Source organism: Homo sapiens, chromosome 18 (genome assembly GCF_000001405.40).
Source record: "Homo sapiens chromosome 18, GRCh38.p14 Primary Assembly".
In the NCBI taxonomy this organism is placed as follows: Eukaryota; Metazoa; Chordata; class Mammalia; order Primates; family Hominidae; genus Homo; species Homo sapiens.
The window spans coordinates 77,141,615-77,161,319 of NC_000018.10; the positions used below are offsets into that span (position 1 = coordinate 77,141,615).

The 19,705-nt window shown below is 44.0% G+C and overlaps 2 annotated features.

The window, feature by feature from the left end:
- Positions 16,692-17,192: an enhancer, noted in NCBI's record as "H3K27ac hESC enhancer chr18:74870262-74870762 (GRCh37/hg19 assembly coordinates)". NCBI's record gives its function as "activates a minimal SCP1, AML or CMV promoter by ChIP-STARR-seq in naive H9 embryonic stem cells {active_cell/tissue: H9 hESC(naive)}" and the evidence as "EXISTENCE:reporter gene assay evidence [ECO:0000049][PMID:30033119]".
- Positions 18,829-19,399: an enhancer, noted in NCBI's record as "NANOG hESC enhancer chr18:74872399-74872969 (GRCh37/hg19 assembly coordinates)". NCBI's record gives its function as "activates a minimal SCP1, AML or CMV promoter by ChIP-STARR-seq in primed H9 embryonic stem cells {active_cell/tissue: H9 hESC(primed)}" and the evidence as "EXISTENCE:reporter gene assay evidence [ECO:0000049][PMID:30033119]".

Here is a 19,705-nt window from a genome sequence, read left to right on the forward strand (position 1 = left end):
CTTGGCTTGGTGTGGTGGCTCATGCCTGTAATCCCAACACTTTGGGAGGTGGAGGCAGGCAGGTCACTTGAGGTCAGGAGTTTGAAACTAGCCTGGGCATCATGGTGGAACTCCTGTCTCTACTAAAAAAATACAAAAGTTAGCCAGGCGTGGCAGGCACCTGCAGTCCCAGCTATTTGGGAGGCTGAAGCAGGAGACTCACTTGAACCCAGGAGGCAGAGGTTGCAGTGAGCTGAGATTGCGCCACTGCACTCCAGCCAACAGAGGGCAACAGAGGGAGACACTGTCTCATTAAAAAAAAAAAAAAAAAAAGACCAGAAATCCCTTTTGCCCCTCCCCCCACAATGGCATTAAACTGAGTGCCACCCACATGAGGCCATCAGCTCCGAGCCCATGATATCTGGTCAGGTGAAGCTCTCTGCATCTTCTTGGGTGTGGCTCTCAGGTTTGGTGGTGGGATGGGGGAGGGAGCTACAGAGTAAGTATAAGTGGACTGCCATGGAGAGGAGGAGAGAGGAAAGCCATGGGCAACTCTGTGGTCCACGCAAGGACCCAGTGATCATGCCCCTGACTCTGTGTCTGTCTGTGATATGGTTTCGCTGTGTCCCCACCCAAATCTCATATTGAATATTAATTTCCACAATTCCCATGTGTCATTGGAGAAACCCAGTGGGAGGTGATTGAATGATGGGGGTGGATCATTCATGTGCTGCTCTTGTGATAGTGAATGAGTCTCACAAGATCTCATTGTTTTAAAAACGGGAGTTTCCCTGCACAAGCTCCCTTCTCTTGTCTGCTGCCACGTGAGACGTGCCTTTCACCTTCTGCCGTGATTGTGAGGCCTTCCCAGCCATGTAAAACTCTAAGTCCAATAAACCTCTTTCATTTGTAAATTGCCCCGTCTTGGGTATGTCTTTATCAGCAGTGTGAAAATGGACTAATACACAGTAAATTGGTACCAGTAGACTGGGGCGCTGCTGAAAAGATACCCGAAAATGTGGAAGTGACTTTGGAACTGGGTAACAGGCAGAGGTTGGAACAGTTTGGAGGGCTCAAAAAAAGACAGAAAAATGTGGGAAAGTTTGGAACTCCCTAGAAACTTGTTGCATGGCTTTGACCAAAATGCTGATAATGATACGGACAATGAAATCCAGGCTAAGGTGGTCTCAGATGGAGATGAGAAACTTGTTGGGAACTGGAGCAAAGGTGACTCTTGTTTTGTTTTAGCAAAGAGACTGGTGGCATTTTGCCCCGGCTTCAGAGATTCATGGAACTTTGAACTTGAGAGAGGTGATTTAGGGTATCTGGTGGAAGAAATTTCTAAGCAACAAAGCATTCAAGAGGTGACTTGGGTGCTGTTAAAGGCATTCATTTTTATAAGGGAAGCAGAGCATAAAGGTTTTGAAAATTTGCAGCCTGACAATGCAACAGAAAAGAAAATCCCATTTTCTGAGGAGAAATTTAAGCTGGCTGCAGAAATTTGCATAAGTAATGAGGAGCCAAATGTTAATCCCCAAGACAATAGGGAATATGTCTCCAGGGCATGTCAGAGTTCTTCACAGCAGCCCCTCCCATCACAGGCCCAGAGGTTGAGGAGGAAAAAATGATTGTATGGGCCAGGTCCAGGGTCCCTCTGCTCTGTGCAGTCTAGGGACTTGGTTCCCTGTGTTCCAGCCACGCCAGCTGTGACTAAAAGGGGCCAAGGTACAGCTCAGGCTGTTGCTTCAGAGGGTAGAAGCCCAAGCCTTGGCAGCTTTCATGTGGTGGTGAGCCTACAGGTGCACAGAAGTCAAGAACTGAGGTTTGGGAACCTCTGCTAGATTTCAGGAAATGCCTGGATGCCCAGGCAGAAGTTTGCTGCAGGGACGGGGCCCTCATGGAGATTCTCTCCTAGGGCAGTGCAGAAGGGGAATGTGGTTTTGGAGCCCCCACCCAGAGTTCCTACTGGGACACCACCTAGTGGAGCTGTGAGAAGAGGGCCACCATCCTCCAGACCCCATAAAGGTAGATCCACTGACAGCTTGCACCATGTGCCTGGAAAAGCCACAGACAGTCAATGCCAGCCCTTGAAAGCAGCCAGGAGGGAGGCTGTACCCTGCAAAGCCATAGGGGTGGAGCTGCCAAAGACCATGGGAAGCTACTTCTTGCATCAGAATGATGTGGATGTGAGACATAGAGTCAAAAGAGATCATTTTGGAGCTTTAAGTTTTGACTACCTGCTGGATTTTAGACTTGTGTGGGGCCTGTAGCCCCTTTGTTTTGGCCAATTACTCCCATTTGGAATGGCTGTTTTTACCCCATGCCTGTGCCCCCATTGTATCTAGGAAGTAACTAACTTGCTTTTGATTTTACAGGCTCATGGGCAGAAGGGACTTGCCTTGTCTCAAATGAGACTTTGGACTATGGACTTTTGAGTTAATGATGTAATGAGTTAAGACTTTGGGGACTGTTGGGAAGGCATGAATGGTTTTGAAATGTGAGGACATGAGATCTAGGGGGAGCCAGGGATGGAATGATATGGTTTGGCTGTGTCCTCACCTAAATCTCCTCTTGAATTGCAACTTCCTCACGTCCCATGTATTGTGGGAGGAACCCAGTGGGAGATGACTAAATTATGGGGGCAGGTCTTTCTTGCACTGTTCTTGTGATAGTGAATGAGTCTCATGAGATCTGACAGCTTTAAAAATGGGAATTTCCCACACAAGCTCTCTTCTCTTGTCTGCCACCATGTGAGATGTGTCTTTCACCTTCTGTCATGATTGTGAGGTCTCCCCAGTCATGCGGAACTGTAAATCCAATAAACCTCTTTCTTTTGTAAATTGCCCAGTCTTGGGTATGTCTTCATCAGCAATGTGAAAACGGACTAATACGCTTTGGAAAGGCCCTGAGGTGACGCCCCCAGGTGGCTCCACATTTTCTAGAGCTTTCTTATGGCAGAGATGTGGGGTCCTCCCGCATGTTTGCCTTGGTGGCCCCTGGCTCAGTTTTAGCATTTCTTTGGCAGTGCAAGGCCTTGACATTTAGACTTCTGCTCTGTTTGTTTGGTTTCAGTTGTTTAGTAACCCAAACCAGAGATCTTATCTAGCTATCAAGTTTGAGCCCAGAATTGGGAGGGAACCTCTGCATCCTGGCAACAAGCTTTCTCCCAGCTTCACTTTGCATTTAGTGGCTTCTGCCTCAGGTACATTCCAAATAATGTCCGTTGGTGGGAGGCAAAGCTCTGGCTGCTCACCAGCTGAACCTCTCCAGAAAGAATGACTTTCAAGGAAAGAAAACCTGATGGGAGGTGCATGGGGGCAGCATGAGGATCTGACTTCTCCCGACCTCTGTCCATGGTCCTGTTAAATCCCCACTTCCTGGCACTGCTGGTAAAACCTTGGCCTGGGGATAGAGAATCCTGCAAGTCTCTTGGCCCCAGAAGGTCAGATAACAAGGACCACATCTTCTGCTCACCAACCCATACCCATTTCTTCTCTGCATCACAGGTGGCCCCTTCCAAAGCAATCCTCTCTTTCCTGATTGGGCCTCACTCTCCACATTTTGAATTCTATGGTCCCCTAGTTCTGTAGCCTCACATCACACAAGTGCCAGCTCCACACACAGATAATATAGCTAGATGTTTAATTTTAAAATATCAAGGATGGCCAGTGGCTGCCCCTTCTCTGCCTCCAGGCAGCCAATGCCATGTTTGAATGGCTGTTGGTAGGAATATTCCTCTCCTGACCACGTTATTTATTGGTTGGAAGTCCCAAGAAGAAAACCAACATTAACAAGGATGCAGGCAGTAAGAGGAAGCCACCGTATTTTGCATCACTAGAAGGTTCTGAGGATGCACTGAATTTGGCAGCTCCCGTGATGAGACGGGGGCCACCATCCCTCTCTCCATCTGTCCTGCTTCCTCAGAGTGTATTCCAGGTTTGGCAGGGTTCTCTCATGGCCCACTGCTGCCAGCAGCCCTGGGTGCCTTGTTCATACTCGGTCTTCAAATAAAACCTTGGGGCTCCCCTCAGAGGGGATCAGCTCAGGCTGTGTGGCCATCACCCAACCAAGAATGGCAGTGTGAGAAGGGATGGAGCTAGCCTGGTCACAACAGGAGTTCCGTGAGCCCTCCCGGCATGGGGGCAGCTTTCTTGGAAGGTCGGACTCACAGTCACACATGGACACTCAGGTGAAAGTGATTTTTGTCGCTGCTTGTGCAGAGATGCCGTATATCATGACACTCAGGGGCCCGTGTGAGGGCCGGGCCTCCTGGGCTCAGCCTCTGCAACTTGCTGGCTGTGTGTTCCTCAGTGTCTTCCCGGTAGATGGTGATGGTCACCGTTCTGCCCATATCCCAGGCATTGTCCTGAGGATGAAATGAGAGTCTGTGTGAGATTCTTCAGAAGTGCCTGGCACAGAGTGAAAACTGAATAAGCATTTGCTATGTATCTATGTATTTTCTATTTTTAAAGAAAGTAAACATTATTAGTTTCAAGAGCCCAGAGGAATCACAACTAGGCTAACAAATTATAGCTGAACAGAGGACATAGGGGAAGGGCTCCATTATTTATAAAAATGAAGAGTAAAAACAATAATGACTTTTCATGACCTAGTGGGTAATTACATGAGCACCAGAGGGCATTTAAAAAGCTTTTTCCCTTAAGTAGTTTGAACATTCTCTTTGAAACATGAATACTATGCACAGGATTCAGAACTGGTGACATCTGAAAAGACGCGAGCTTGAAGGGAAAGAGGAAAGTGGATGCTGTTAGTTCCTGACAGCTGGGGCTTGTCCTCTCGGTCAGAGCCACCTGGCAACACGGAGAGGGAGCCCACTTCCCCTGAGCCGGGATGTAGATGGGACCTGTTGATGTCAACTGCCAATAGCATGGAAGAGAGCGTGCAGGAACAGGAGAGAGAACGCACAGGTTTTCCTCCCTTTTCCTGTGCAGACCTGCTCCAGGGTCATACAACATCGAGTGCCAATCAGACAAGGTTCACCCCGTGGATGAAAAAAGAGCTACAGTTTGAAAACCTAGTGGGAAATCTAACTGACTCATCCCTGCCTTCCCAAGTATGTTCTGGGCCTGTTGTACCCGCAAATACCTCTGCCGTCCTGCAGATGGGCCTGAGTGCTGTAAATTCCCATGGGGTGGGGAGACATGACTGGTGCTCCCGCAGTGGTAATGCCACTGTAGGCAACTGAGAGTGACACACAGTTAATTCCTCAGCTCATTCACTTCAGGTCCCGAAACAGTCACCAGGTGACCCTTCTGCAAATTGGAGCAGCTTCATAAGCAGAGGAGAGAAGAAGCTTGACGACACCCAGGACGGATGCCCTGCTGAGCCTGGGCATCAGTGCTGGCTCTGCCCACTTCCTGCCCAGACTCCTGTGCTGTTTGGAGAAAACTGGGCAGGAGGTGGGAGAGGTCTTTGGCATAAGAGTGTTTGGTAGCTGAATAGCCTACTCATAAACGATCAGCCATTAGCCATACCTGTCTTTCAAACGTTATGTTATTCAAGCACTGCCTACTTATGGCTAAAAGTTAGAAAATGTAGAAAAACATTTTTAAACATAAAAAGCTCCAAATTATACTACTGAGAAACAATTATCTGAGCGTGGTATGAACTTTCACTTTTCACTCTTTTATTTATAAAACTAGAATCATGCTATAATTTTTTTGTAACTTGCTTTTCCACTTGGCAGAATATCGTAAGCATCCTCCCAAGTCAACGAATGGGTATCGATGTCCTTGATAAAAGTAACCATATTCTCTTTTTGGACTGGCTGGTTGGTTTCCATTCATTTTGCTGTGGAGCCCACTTCTAATGTGTGAGTTTAGAACTGGAAAGTCCTGGGTCTCTCATATTGCTGGTCCCTCCTTCCTTTTTCTGGTTTCATGGTGTTCTGAACGTATGCTAGACGGCGCTGGTTTGCAGAGCCACACCTGGAAAACCAGACAGAAAACAGACCTCTGTGTGCAGCCCCAGTCTCCACTGTCCCCTGGGAGAAAGAGTTCTCAGAACAGGAGGCATTTGCACACAGAGGTCCTCAGTGGGATGGGAATCAGACCTGCTGGTGTGTGTCTGGGAAGAGCTTGGAAAGATGTCAGGGGTTTACAGATCTGAGATGGTCTTAGGAGGGGAAGTGCACAGGCTGGGTGTCAGGCCCTGCTGCCAACTCCCCCTTTGATTTGTCACTTCCTCTCAAGTGAGTCACTTGCTCTCTTTAAGGCCAATTTTCCTCATCTGTAAAGTAAAATAGAATGTCGTGGGTATTAAATAAGAATTTGCATGTGAACTCACAATAAAAATGTGAAGAACCTGATAGAATTATGGTATTTGTGTTAAATCATCATCATCATCAAGTCTAGAGCTGCCTGTAATCCCAGCACTTTGGGAGGCCGAGGCAGGCAGATCACCTGAGGTCAGGAGTTTGAGACCAGCTTGGCCAACATGGTGAAACCCCATCTCTACTAAAAATATAAAACTTAGACCTGTGTGGTGGTGCACACCTGTAATCCCAGCTACTTGGGAGGCTGAGGCAGGAGAATCACTTGAACCCAGGAGGCGGAGGTTGCAGTGAGCTGAGATCACGCCACTGTACTCGAGCCTGGGCTACAAGAGTGAGACTCTGTCTCAAAAAAAAAGGAAAAAGAAAAAATAAAGTCTAGAGCTGTGCTATTTAATCTACTGGAGGCCCAGGTGAAACACACACTCTACACAGATAAATGCAGTCATGGTAATTTTGGCAATAATTATGAAATGCATATTGCTAGGTTGATCAATTAACTTGAATGAAATACCAGTGGGCTGACAGAGTAAGCTCAGCCCACATTCTAGGAGAATAGACCTGTTTCTTGCTTTCAGCAAAGCCAATGTACAAAAGTTCATAATTAGCCAGGCGTGGTGACTCACACCTGTGGTCCCAGCTACTCGGGAGGCTGAGTTGAGAGGATTGCTTGAGCCCAGGAGGTTGAGGCTTCAGTGAGCTGTGATAGCACCACTGCATTGCAGCCTGGGTGACAGAGTGAGATCCAGTCTCTAAAAAAAAATGTTCATATTTACCAAGAGGATTTAAAAACTGTGAGATTTCTTTGAAGTGCAAGGTCCCCTGGTTCATTTTAAGTGAGCGTTTATAATTCCCACCTGCCTTTATAAAATCACAGATATCAGGTATTTGGCTCAGAAGGCCCAGTGACTTGTCACATGCCATCGTATGCAGGACAGAAGATGGGCACTCTGTGAGGAGTGAGGGCGGTGGAGAAGCTGTGTGTCATCTGTTGCAGTGTATATTTGCATCAGAATGTGGGGTGTGCCTGTCTTCCAGCAAAGGCAGGGTTAATTCCCGAGGAGATGGTCCACAGCTTCCACTTTTTATTTCTAGTGTTTACAGGCTTTCACTAGAAAGGACTTGTGGGGACTTTAAGAGGAGCTCTACTGAAGAATGAGTGAGGCCCACACTCATTGGTGCACTGACTTTATTTTTTTATTTTTTATTTTTATTTTTATTTTTTTGAGGCGGAGTCTCACGCTGTCGCCCAGCCTGGAGTGCAGTGGTGCGATCTCTGCTCACTGCAAGCTCCGCCTCCTGGGTTCACACCATTCTCCTGCCTCAGCCTCCCGAGTAGCTGGGACTACAGGTGCCCGACACCACGCCCGGCTAACTTTTTTTTTTGTATTTTTTAGTACAGACGGGGTTTCACTGTGTTAGCCAGGATGGTCTCTATCTCCTGACCTTGTGATCCGCCCGCCTCAGCTTCCCAAAGTGCTGAGATTACAGGTACATTGACTTTAAATTTGATGATCTAAATCAGGAAATGAGACAGAAATGTAATCATCAAGTCAGCAGAAAAATAGTAGTTAAACCTGGTTAAGTGAGAGGTGTGTGCCCCCATTTTTCCTTGGGAAACATCAAAGAAAGTACCCACAGGCTCACCTCCCATCTTTGTATTATGTTTGTAGTACATCAATTGCATTTGCACGGTTCTAACTTTTCCAACTAGAACACACAGCAACAATAACAACAATTAGCTCCTTAAGGTTACATCCTGGAAATCATAAGAGGTAATTTGAAAGTGGTCTTGATTCTTCTGCTTGCTTGAGTAACTCAGGCAACTTGTTTAGGTAACCGGAATTACGACTTGAAAAAGCTGATTTAATGCCACCAAAAAAATCTATTCAAGTAGACAATACGTTCACAGGGCTTCGTATCATTAATATATTCACAGAGCATTTCCCCTTGAAAAAACTATAGGGTGTGATATGCATATTAGTGAGTATTATCATATGGGACAATGTATCAGTCAGGGTTCTCTAGAGAAACAGAACCAATAGAAGATAGCTATCTGTCTGTCTCTCTGTATCTATCTATCATTTAATCTATGTCTATCTGTCTTTCCCTATCTCTCTATCTCTCTGTCTCTATCTATCTATCTATCCATCTATCTGTCTATCTATCGTCTATCTATCTATCAAGAGATTTATTTCAAGACATTTGTTCACATGATTGTAGGGCTGGTAATTCTGAAATCCAAGGGGCAGGTAGGCATCCTGGAAAGTGGATCAGGAGCTGATGCTCAGTCTTGAAACAGACCTTCCTCTTCTCCAAGAGTATATGACCTCACCTACTTTTTTACTTAAAGTCACCTGATGATAGATATGAACCACATCTACAAAATATCTTTGCAGCAACCTTAGATTAGCATTTACTTGAGTAACTGGGTCCTGTAACCTAGCCAATTTCAAACATGAAATCTATTCATCACAGAAGGCATTGACAAAGTTTCATAAGAACATTTGGGAATTTGTGCAGTCTTTGTTTGTATGGACATAAAATGGTTTTAGACCATCTCATGGATTTCTTAATACAATGGACTAGAATTACACAAGCCCCTTTTCCTCACAGCTCTCAGAATTGCAGTTCAATATACTATTTAGATTTTATTGCTGGGGGACACAGATACACATGTTAAAATACATTTTTCATTTGTCTCCTACCCTTTATGAACTTTAAGAAAATAATTGCCTTTAGGATAGAAATCTGGATGCTTTAAAAAAATAGCATTTGGTAGAGTTGAGAGATAAAGTGCTTGAAAAGGCCGCCGAGATGTGTGTGCCTGACACACTGGCTCATAATGGTTTTTCTGTGCTAATGTGTGCCTCTGAACCTCTTTAAAATGCCAAATTATTCATTTCTTGGAGGGATGCAATCAGTTCTCTGCTGACTATTATGAAAAATAGAGACAGAAGCAAAATTTCAAATGCTGTTCTACAAAAATTATTTAATCATTTCTGGCCTATTGTGGAAATTCATGCGAGCTATTGAGTTGACGTGCAGCTCTGCAGACCAGCTTTGGCAGATGCAATCACAGCCAGTTTTATGAAAAATTCTGTTTATTCATCCATGCAATACATACTTTCATGACAACAAAAGTGCAGCTGAACTCTGCCTTATACAATGGCAGAAAACTGTTTGAACTTAGAGGCATTGGAAAGGCTCCACCTGCCTTTCAAATGGAAAATAATATCAATTTTCTACTGGCTGAAGATGGACAGTTTAACATTCTAACACTATGACTTTATTTTAAAATTTTGATTCATGATACAATGCAAATAGCACTGGGAGTGGTAAATGAAATGGAAACTATGAGCTAGTTTCATTTGAATGAGTGAATTTTGGATCTTCCCTGATCTGATTTCACTAGGGTGGAGGAAAGATCAGAAGTGAACCAAGCTCCTGGTGGGTGTGTTGGCAAGGAGGTGGGCTTCACTGGGAGATCAAACACACTGCACACCATTTTTATTCTTACCTCACACTTTTATCTGGAACAGACCTGATTGCAAATGTTTTTCAAAATCTAAAAACAAAGGTTTCAGTTTCATTTATATAGCATAAAGTGCGAATAATTCCAAGAATAATTACAGGACGTGCAAAGGTCCGGAAGTAAGGGAGAATGTTTAGTGAGGAGAGGAGGATTATGAAATAAGATAGTCTGTGAGAGGTTAGGAGGGGAGAGATTAGGAGAGCAGAGGTTAGGAGAGGGAAGATGCTTAAGGCTGAGAACTCTGAGATTTACACTGAGGACAAGGGCGAGCCATTAAAAAGTTGTAAAGTCGTAAGTGGGCGAGTATGACGAGATCGTATTTGCAAGAAAGTATGCAATACATTTTAAATACTTACATAAAACTATTGAAGCAAAAACCAACTTCTGGAATAATCCCCTCGGGTACCTTGGGTCTTGCAGCAGATGTCGGTTGATTTGCATGCGATGCTTGAGTTCCCTTCTCACCTGCCTCACCATCCATCACACCTGGAATATAGCGGTGTCTGAGCTTGCTGACCTTAGCCAGAAGGTGGGAGAGGCGGGGCACTGACCCAGGTGTAGGGCACCCAACGTCTAGGTGGAGCTGCGTTCCCTTTGTCTCTCCCCTTTGACGGCAGTCGCATGATGAAGGGCTCTGGTGATGAAGGGTGCTGTATGGAGGTAGCACCACACTGGAGCCACCCCCAGTGAAAGTAGAAATTAAGAACCGGCAGAGAAAGCCGCTCTGCAGAGAGAAGAGAAGCGCAGATGAGAGAGATTCAGGTGTCTTGGCGAGGGAAGGAACTGATGCCTGACTCAGAGTGAGGGAAACCAGACACAAACTGTCTAGAAATATTCAGTGCCCGTGGGGTCCAGCTCTGCCACAGAATATGTTTGTATGTATTACCTCTCGATGTGTTCAGGAACCCAGCGGCACTGGAGCTAATTTGCATGTAATTTGCATGCTTCTGATTCTTCCTTCGCCGCCATCCTTCACAAGTCAGAAATGGCCTGGAGAGCAGTTCCGCACGGGATAGGGAGTGTTTAACAAAGGAAGGACGGGGAAGTGTTTTTTTCTAACCAGGCCCACTACGAGGTTACAGTATTATTTAGAATTTCTTATTAATCTTTTAAATTTATTTATACTTCTCTTTCTTCATTTTTATTTTAATAGAGTAGGTCTAAGAGAGCCTTAATTTTGTGTAGCAGGCATTAATAAATATTTGTTGGCTGAATGAATATATTTTATTGCGCCTTAATTTAGTAATTTTATATTTTGAAAAGGATTTGAAAGAATGTTTGCCTACAGTAACAGAATTTGGAATATACATAGAGAAATCATAAAAAGCTGGAATCACGCAAAAAGTCGTATATCATAAAATATTCCGAATATTTGAGAGTAATGTGAAAGCATGGGGAATGTTTTGTGGTTAGTTATGTTTTTAAAATCCTTTTGAGTTTCATCCTGTCGTTATGAGAAATAACCTGGAAGATAGTATCTTAGTCATTTATTTCATTGACAGTGGGGAGTCTAATAAACAGTGGAGGAACTAAGTAAGACTTTTCCCCTGTCAATGATTTATGTGTTTATACAGGGGGAGATTAAAGTAACTGAATATGAAAAAAAATGTAAAAATTATCGATATTACCTTTAGCTACCTGTGGAGATCATGTACATATTCAAAAAGTTGTGAAACTATCTAAACCATTTTTTATAACTCATCATTTGGAAAGCCTGCCTACACTGCCGCCTGGGTTCTAGAACACCCCAGAAAACAGTGCTGGCTGAGTGTGTGCAGGCCAAGAGCTTGCTCCGTGCCCTGGGCTCTCAGATCTCAAGCCCGATCTCTCATCTTCTGTGTGCAGACATAACAAATGTATCATCAGTTCCTTCCAGAAATACATTATGTGTATCCTTCCAGAAATACATTATGCATAGAGAAGCAAATATGTAGCTAAAACACAGACCTATACATAGGCACTTTCCCCTTTCTCAACCCTTAAGGCACTACATGATATAAAATTTATATACATGAAGTTTGTAAGCTATTCCACATTTTTTTACACTTAATAACATATTAGTACTTGAGGAATGCTATGGTCTGAGTGTTTGCATCCCCTCCAAATACATACGTTTCCATTTGAATCCCCAGGGATCTCCTTTGAGAGGCGATTAGGCCATGGGGGTGGAGCCATTGCAAATGGGATTCGTGCCCTTATGGAGGAAGCCCCGGAGGGCTGGCTCTCCCCTCCCACCATGTGAAAACACAGCAAGAAGGCGCCATTTAGGTACCAGAAAGCAGGTCTTTACCAGACACTGATCTGAGACTTCCCAGGCTCCAACATTGTTAGAAATAAATTTCTGTGGTGAAAAGCCGCCCAGCTTATGGTATTTTGTTGTAGCAACCTGATGGGACTAAGGTAGGAAACATACTCACTTCTAAACATTTGTATAGAATTTTATTTTATGAATGTGATATAATTTATTTACCCAGAGTAAATAAATACTCGGATACTAAATATCTGAATTAGTGAGAGATATTTAGGTTATTTCTGATGTTTATAACAAATAATGATGTAAAGAAATACCTCACACCACATCACTTAACACACATGTAAATGTATTTGTAGAGGTAGTTGCTGGGTCAAAGGTTATACATATTATATTGATAATTAATGCCAAATTGCCCTCCTAAGAATCTGTCCCACTGTGTGTTGTCAAATTTTTCAGACTTGCTGATCTGAGAGGTGATAAGTTATCTTGGTACAGTTTTCATAATGAGTGAGGTTGAGCTTCTTTTCACACTATTAGTTCTTTCCATGTGAACTTTCTGTTCACTGCCTTTAACCATTTCTGCTTGAGTCTGTTGTTCTTCTTAATGCTTTGTAAATTTTTCTATGGATTAGGGAAGTTGGCCATTTGTGGCATGAGTTGAACAGGATGGTTCTCAGTTTGTCTTTTCACATTGCTTGTGGGAGATCTTACTCTTTTCTCAAATATTCAAATTTTTCAGTTGTGGTGTCTGATCTCATGACTGTCGCGGATAGTGGTGAATATCCATCTTTTGAGAAACAAGCAGAACAGATGAGATGTTGATGTTGTTTTGAACTAAAAAGAATATGGCTTCATCTTTAGCTGTGTTTGAAGACAATTCCCAAAGAGGAGCATTGACATGTGTTGAGCAATATCTTCAGCATGTAACTTCACGAGTCAATGGCGACAACTCCCCAGGATGACAATGGGGAGTGGCCATGCCCTTTTGTGCATATAAGCGATTGTATCTGTTAAAGTATTCTGCTGAATTAGCAGTCATGCAAAAGATCAGCAGGTACTCTCCACTGCGCAGAAGTGGGCTTGGCAGAGACACGAGTGTCTCGGGCAGAGGAAGTGGGTGCTGTGAGATGGGGTGGTACGGGGTGAGAAGGAACAGGGAAGGGGCTGGCCCCCTGTCCCAGGGCCACGAGGGGCTTTGAAGAGTTCAGGAGTGCTCTTTAAGGCAAGAGCAACAGGCTCTGTTGTAAACTTTATTTACACATTAAATAGAATAAATTTTATTTATTATTAGTTGAGGTCATTTGGGCAACGTCGCAGGTTGAATAGCGTCTTCCCAAAGGGTATGTGCGTGTCCCAATTTCTAGTGCACTGTGAACTCGACCTGATTTGGAGGCTGGGTCTTTCTTCGCAGCTATAATCAAGTTGAGATGATGCCATGCTGGACTGGGCAAGTCCTAAGGCATGAATGGGTGTCCTTGTAAGAAGAGAGGAATTTGGACACAGAGACACAGAGAGAGAGTGTCCTGTGACGGGGCGGAGACGGGAGCGGTGCAGCCGCAAGCCAAGGAGCACCGGCGACTGCCGGGAGACACTGAGGCCGGGGAGGCAGGGAACGGATTCTCGCTCACAGCCCGCAAGAAGGGGCCAACCCTGCGACACTTTGGTCTCTGACTTTTGATCTCCTGGATGGTGGCATGATACATTTCTGTTGTTTTCAGTCCCGGTTGCGGTACTTTATAATGGCAGCCCCCAGGAAACAGGTACCAGCCACAAGCATGAAAAACTGGCTCTGGCTAGCTCAAGCCAAACAAAACAAGACAGAAATACAAAATCAGAAAACAAGACAGCTTACAGGAACAAATAAGACCTTAGAAGGAAAGAAAGCTGGGAATGGCCTGGAGTTTGGGATCCACCCTGAGAGAATTCCTGTCCCGTGTTTGGTGAAGCTTCCCTGGCTGCCTGATGGCAAGCAGCTGACAGCGCATGAAGCTGCAGGCAGTTGTGATATTTGACTTGGTTTGGATCTGCGGTCTCCACCAAATCTCATGTCACCTGTAATCCCCAGTGTGGGAGGTGGGGCCTCCTGTAATCCCCAGCGTGGGAGTGGGGTCTAGTGGGAGGTGACTGGATCATGGGGGTGGGATTCTCACGAATGGGTTGTCATCATCCCCTCTGTGCTGTCCCCTTGGTGACAGTGAGTGAGTGAATTGCCCTGAGATCCGTTTTTAAAAGGTATACAGGGTGCACCTCCTGCCTGTCTCGTTGCTGCTCCTGCCACGTGAGACACCATGTGAGACGTTTGCTCCGCTTTGCCTTCGCCATGACTCAAAGCTTCCTGAGGCCTCCCCAGAAGCAGCAGCTGCCATGCTTCCTGTACAGCCTGCGGAACCGTGAGCCAATTAAACCTCTTTTCCGGCCAAGCGTGGTGGCTCACGCCTGTAATCCCAGCACTTTGGGAGGCCAAGGTGGGCAGATCACCTGAGGTCAGGAGTTTGAGACCAGCCTGGTCAACATGGTGAAGCCCCATCTCTACTAAAAATACAAAAATTAGTTGGGCGTGGTGTCGGGCACTCGTAATCCAGCTACTCGGGAGGCTGAAGCAGGAAAATCACTTGAACCTGGGAGATGGAGGTTGCATTGAGCCGAGATTGCACTATTGCACTCCAGCCTGGGCGACAAGAGCATCTCAAAAAAGCAAAAAACAAACAAAACAAAAACAACAAAAACACCTCTTTTCCTTACAAATTACCCAGCCTCAGACATTTTTTTATAGCAGTACAAGAATGGACTAATATAGTATTAAAAAGTGGAAACGACCGGGCAGCAGGTTGACATTTTGCTTGGTATTGCCGGCTCATGTTTCCGCTTCATGTCATTTGCATGGCGTTGCCGGCTGGGGGCTGAGGCGTGCAGCCAAGGACAGTGATGGTGGGATGAAGCGAAGAGGCTGGTTTTGGATTTTTTTTTCGGAGGTGTTCAATAGGAGGTGATGGTTGATTGGGTATAACATCAGGCTGCCTAACTTTGCCTCCCCAGGTAAACAGGCTTAACCATTGTTCAAGTCACAGCAAGCTTCAATTTGATTCTAGTAATTTGACTCGTAGCCAACCTATACAAATCCATGTCCCATTCTTAGATATATAAAATAATGCTTTGATAACTGAAAGAGGTTTAAGATGATAATTATAAAGATGGACCTAGTAGTTTTCTTTGTTTTAATTATGAAATATTTTGAACATACAGCAATGTAGACAAAATAATATAAGACATCTATGTGTCCCCCACTAAGATGAAATGGATGTGAGAGTTTGGTGTATTTGCCTCAGGTCTGTATTCTTTTCTTTCTTTTCTTTCTTTCTTTCTTTCTTTCTTTCTTTCTTTCTTTCTTTCTTTCTTTCCTTCTTTCTTTTCTCTTTCTTTCTTTCTTTCTTTCTCTCTCTTTCTTCCTTCCTTCCTTCCTTTCTTTCCTTCCTTTCTTTTTTTAATAAATAGCAACACTGAAAAAGCTGAAGCTCATTAATTCCTGCTCTCATTCTCTCCTCTGAGAAATAATCACTCTTCTGAAGTAAGTGAGTACCATGATCAGGCAAGCTTTTGCACTTGTATGATACTTGTTTGCTTCTAAAAATATCCCATACTTTGTGCTTTCCAGGTATTCTGTGTGTTTAAAACACATAAATTGCATTAGCCTATATGTGCCTTTATGTCACTTGCTTTTTGTTTCACATTTTGCTTTTGAGATGTAGCTGCTATGCACAGGTAGCTCCAGCTCACCCATCATGACAGCTGTCGTGTATGCTATTACGTGGATAAACCCTAGCGTCTGTCTTCCTCTGCTATGGACAGTCAGGGTTTTTCCACTTTTGAATGCTAAAGAGTCTGCTGCAGTGAACACTGTAGCTTCTGTCTCCCTTGTTCTCTGGGGCTTCTTTATTCATTACTAATTTTACTGATTGCTCACTTAGCTTCTTCTTTTGAAGCTCAGTGCCCATCTTTTTTCCTGACATATGTATTGATGACTACGAGTCTCTTTCCATCCTTGCATTATCCCACATGGATTTCATTTCTGCTCACTTAAAATAATCATTTTCTTTTTGGCTTTTTCTTTGGCCCTGATTTTGTGTGTGTGTAAAAGTATGTGTTTATATGTGTGATGTCCACATGTACATAGGGCAGGCTGTAGTTATCTTTTTGTCATAATTTTCTAATTTTATAGCCTCATGGTGGATGTGCTTCATTTGATCCCAATTCTTGGGTATTTGTTGAGAATTGCTTTGTGGTCTGCTTTGCAGGTGGTTTTTATAACCGTTCTTAGTGTGCAGGGAAAGAATGTGTGCTTTCAAATTGTGGAATGCAAGGTTCTTTACATTCTATTACATTAAAACGTCTTAGCTGTGCAGTGTCCATCTTCTTTAGTCATACTAATGTTTAAACATTTTGTTTAAAATATATTTTGGACATACAGAAAAGCTGTGAAAATAGTACAGAGATTTCTGGTATACTGGTGACCCAGCTTTCTAATATGAAGGACATACCTAACTGTTGTACAACATGGAAACCAAGGAACTCACTTTGGCACCTGCTATGAAGCCCTCCACAGACCTTACTCAGATCCCTTCAGTTGTCCTACTAATGGCCTTTTCTGGGGCAACATCCGGCTTAGGATTAGGTGAATGAGTTGCCTTGTCTTTTTCTGTCTTCTAATCCAGTGGTCCCCAACCATTTTGGCACCAGGGACAGGTTTTGTGGAAGACAATTTTTCCATGGATGGGGGTCTGGGGGATGTTTCCAGGATGAAACTGTTCCACCTCAGATCATCAGGCATTAGGTTCTCATAAGGAGTGCATGACCTAGGTCCCTCACAATAGGGTCTGGCCTCCTATGAGAATCGAATGCTGCCACTGATCTGATGGGAGGCAGAGCTCAGGTGGTAATGCTCCTTGGCCTGCCACTCAACTCTTGCTGTGTGGCCTGATTTCTAACAGGCCACGGACCAGGGATTGGGGACCCCTGTTCTTATTTGTGACAGTGTCTGAATCTTTCTTTTTTAAGATCTTCAGGTTTTTGAGGGCTACTGGCCAGTTATTTTGTAGAATGTTCATGTGCTGGGCTGAAAGGTGGCCTCCAAAAATCCATGTTCACCTGGAACCTCTGAATGTTACCTTATTTGGAAATAGGTGTAATTAACCAAGATGAGGTCATCCTGGATTTGGATGGGCCCCAAGGCAATGGCTGGTGTCTTCACACAAAGGGGGAAATGTGGCACATACACACACATAGCTTAGGACACCACGCGCTGACAGAGGCAGAGGTGGGAGCGAGGCTGTCACTAACGAAGGAACGCAGGTACTGCCTGGAGCTGGGGAGGAAGGACAGGTCCTCCCTCAGAGCCTTCAGAGGGAAGGCGGCCCTTACACCTGACCTCAGACCTCGGGCCTCCAGAACTGTGGGGGAATACATTCCTGTTGTTTTATGACAGAATTTCAGCTTTTTTTTTTTTTTTTTTTTTGCTTATTCATGATTAGAATGTATGTATATTTTTATATGAATAACACTAATTTTTTGATCATTTGATCTATTGTGTTATATGAAGATGTGGTTAAAAGGCTATTATTGTAGTAAATATCTGCTATGGTCCAAATACCTGTATTGCCCCTAAATTCATGTTAAAATCCTAACCCTCAAAGGGATGGTAGTAGGACATGGGTTGGAAGGGGATTAGATCAGGAGGGTGGAGCCCTCATGAATGGGATGAATGGCCTCATGAAAGAGGCCCCAGAGAGCTGCTCTGCACCTTCCACCATGTGGGGATGCAGTGGGAAGATGCTGTTTATGAACTGGAACATGAAATCGCTGGTGTGTTGGACTTCCCAGCCTCTCACATCGTGAGAAATTTATTTATGCTATTTATATGCAGTCCAGTTTATGCTATTTTGTTTTGGCAGCCAGAGTGCACTAAGATGAAGAGTCTGAAAACAGAGATTGATAGATGAGGACTTTGCTTACTTGCCCTATATTTAAACATTTTCTGACAGCTGGGTTTACTAACGTCCTCCAGTGTGTTCTGATTTTTTTTTTTTTTTTTTTGAGGCAGAATCTTGCTCTGTTGCCCAGGCTGGAGTGCAATGGCATGATCTTGGCTCACTGCAACCTCCGCCTCCTGGGTTCAAGTGATTCTCCTGCCTCAGCCTCCCGAGTAGCTGGGATTACAGGCACCCACCACCACGCCTGCTAATTTTTGTATTTTTTAGTCGAGATGGGGTTTCACCGTGTTGGTCAGGCTGGTCTCAAACTCCTGACCTCAGGTGATCCACCTGCCTTGGCCTCTCAAAGTGCTGGGATTACAGGCATGAGCCACCATGCCTGACCCGGGTTCTGATTTTATTTTTAAAGTGTACTTGTGGCATTTAACCATTTGCGGATACTCTTCATTCTATATGCGTTGCATATTCCCCAAATTGTGATTAATAAAGACATACAAAGTGTCTATTCTTTTTTGTTTTTTTGAGATGGAGTCTGGCTCTGTCGCCCAGGCTGGAGTGCAGTGGCACAACCTCGGCTCACACAAAGTGTCTATTCTTAAATCTTCACATCTGAGGTGACTAGAAGAGTATATTTAGGAATGGGACTTTAGAAAACGTGACGGCGAATCTGGATGAGAACTAATTAGTGCAACTCAGCATTGCAGTGGAGGTCAGTCACAGCATTAGGAAAGAGGCAGGAATTCCAAGCTCTGATTTTGCTGCTATGTAACTGGGGTGCATGTATATTTACCCATTTCTAATTCATTTCCCCTGTCACCCAGAATCTTCATACAAGGACTCATGGAAAGTCATTTATTTTAGGTATTCTCAGTCATCACTGGGCAAAGTTAACCTATGAAAGTCGGTTAATTTCCTTGTGTGTGTGCATCAAGTTCCCATCGTTTAAACGACAGGCTTGAACTTGATTTTCTATCTGCAGGGTCTCTTTCGGCTCTGGATTCTTAGGAATTTACGATCCTGAAGAAGGCGGTGTTTAGGCGCAGGCCACTGCGATCACCACTTTCTTATTCTGTTGTGTAATTATGGTTTCCTGAGAAAAGCGCTTCCTCCTTTCAGGCAGTCCCCTTTAACATGCAAATTTCGATGTTTCAGAATGATCTCCCTTTAATCCTAAGACTACAAAGTAAGACACCAGGAGGATGAATTATACGATGGGTTTTGGAGGCATTTTTAGCATGTCCTTCACTTAGAAATAATAGACTAATAATAGAAAGTAAGTCCCATCCAAACACAACAGAAAACCATACATTCAAATAACATGTCCAGCGCGTGAATTGTTGGCTGGTTCTGTGGCCAGAACAAGTGATTAAAAATTGAGAAACTGAAATAGTTTAAGATGAAAAATTGTGAAACTCAGGACATAAATACAATTTTTTTTGTACATTGGATTAGACAAAGACTTGAATTCTACTTATAAGTAGTGTTATTTGTTTAAAACATGCTAAATTTCTTTGTGTTGTAAATATTGGCACTAGATAAGAATGGCATAGCAGCCCAAACTCCAGACTTTAAAAGGCGGAGGGAAAGCTAATTTATCAATAATTATGGACAATTGACAATTAGAGATATTAGTCTCACCTGTGCATCAAAACCAGTTTTTT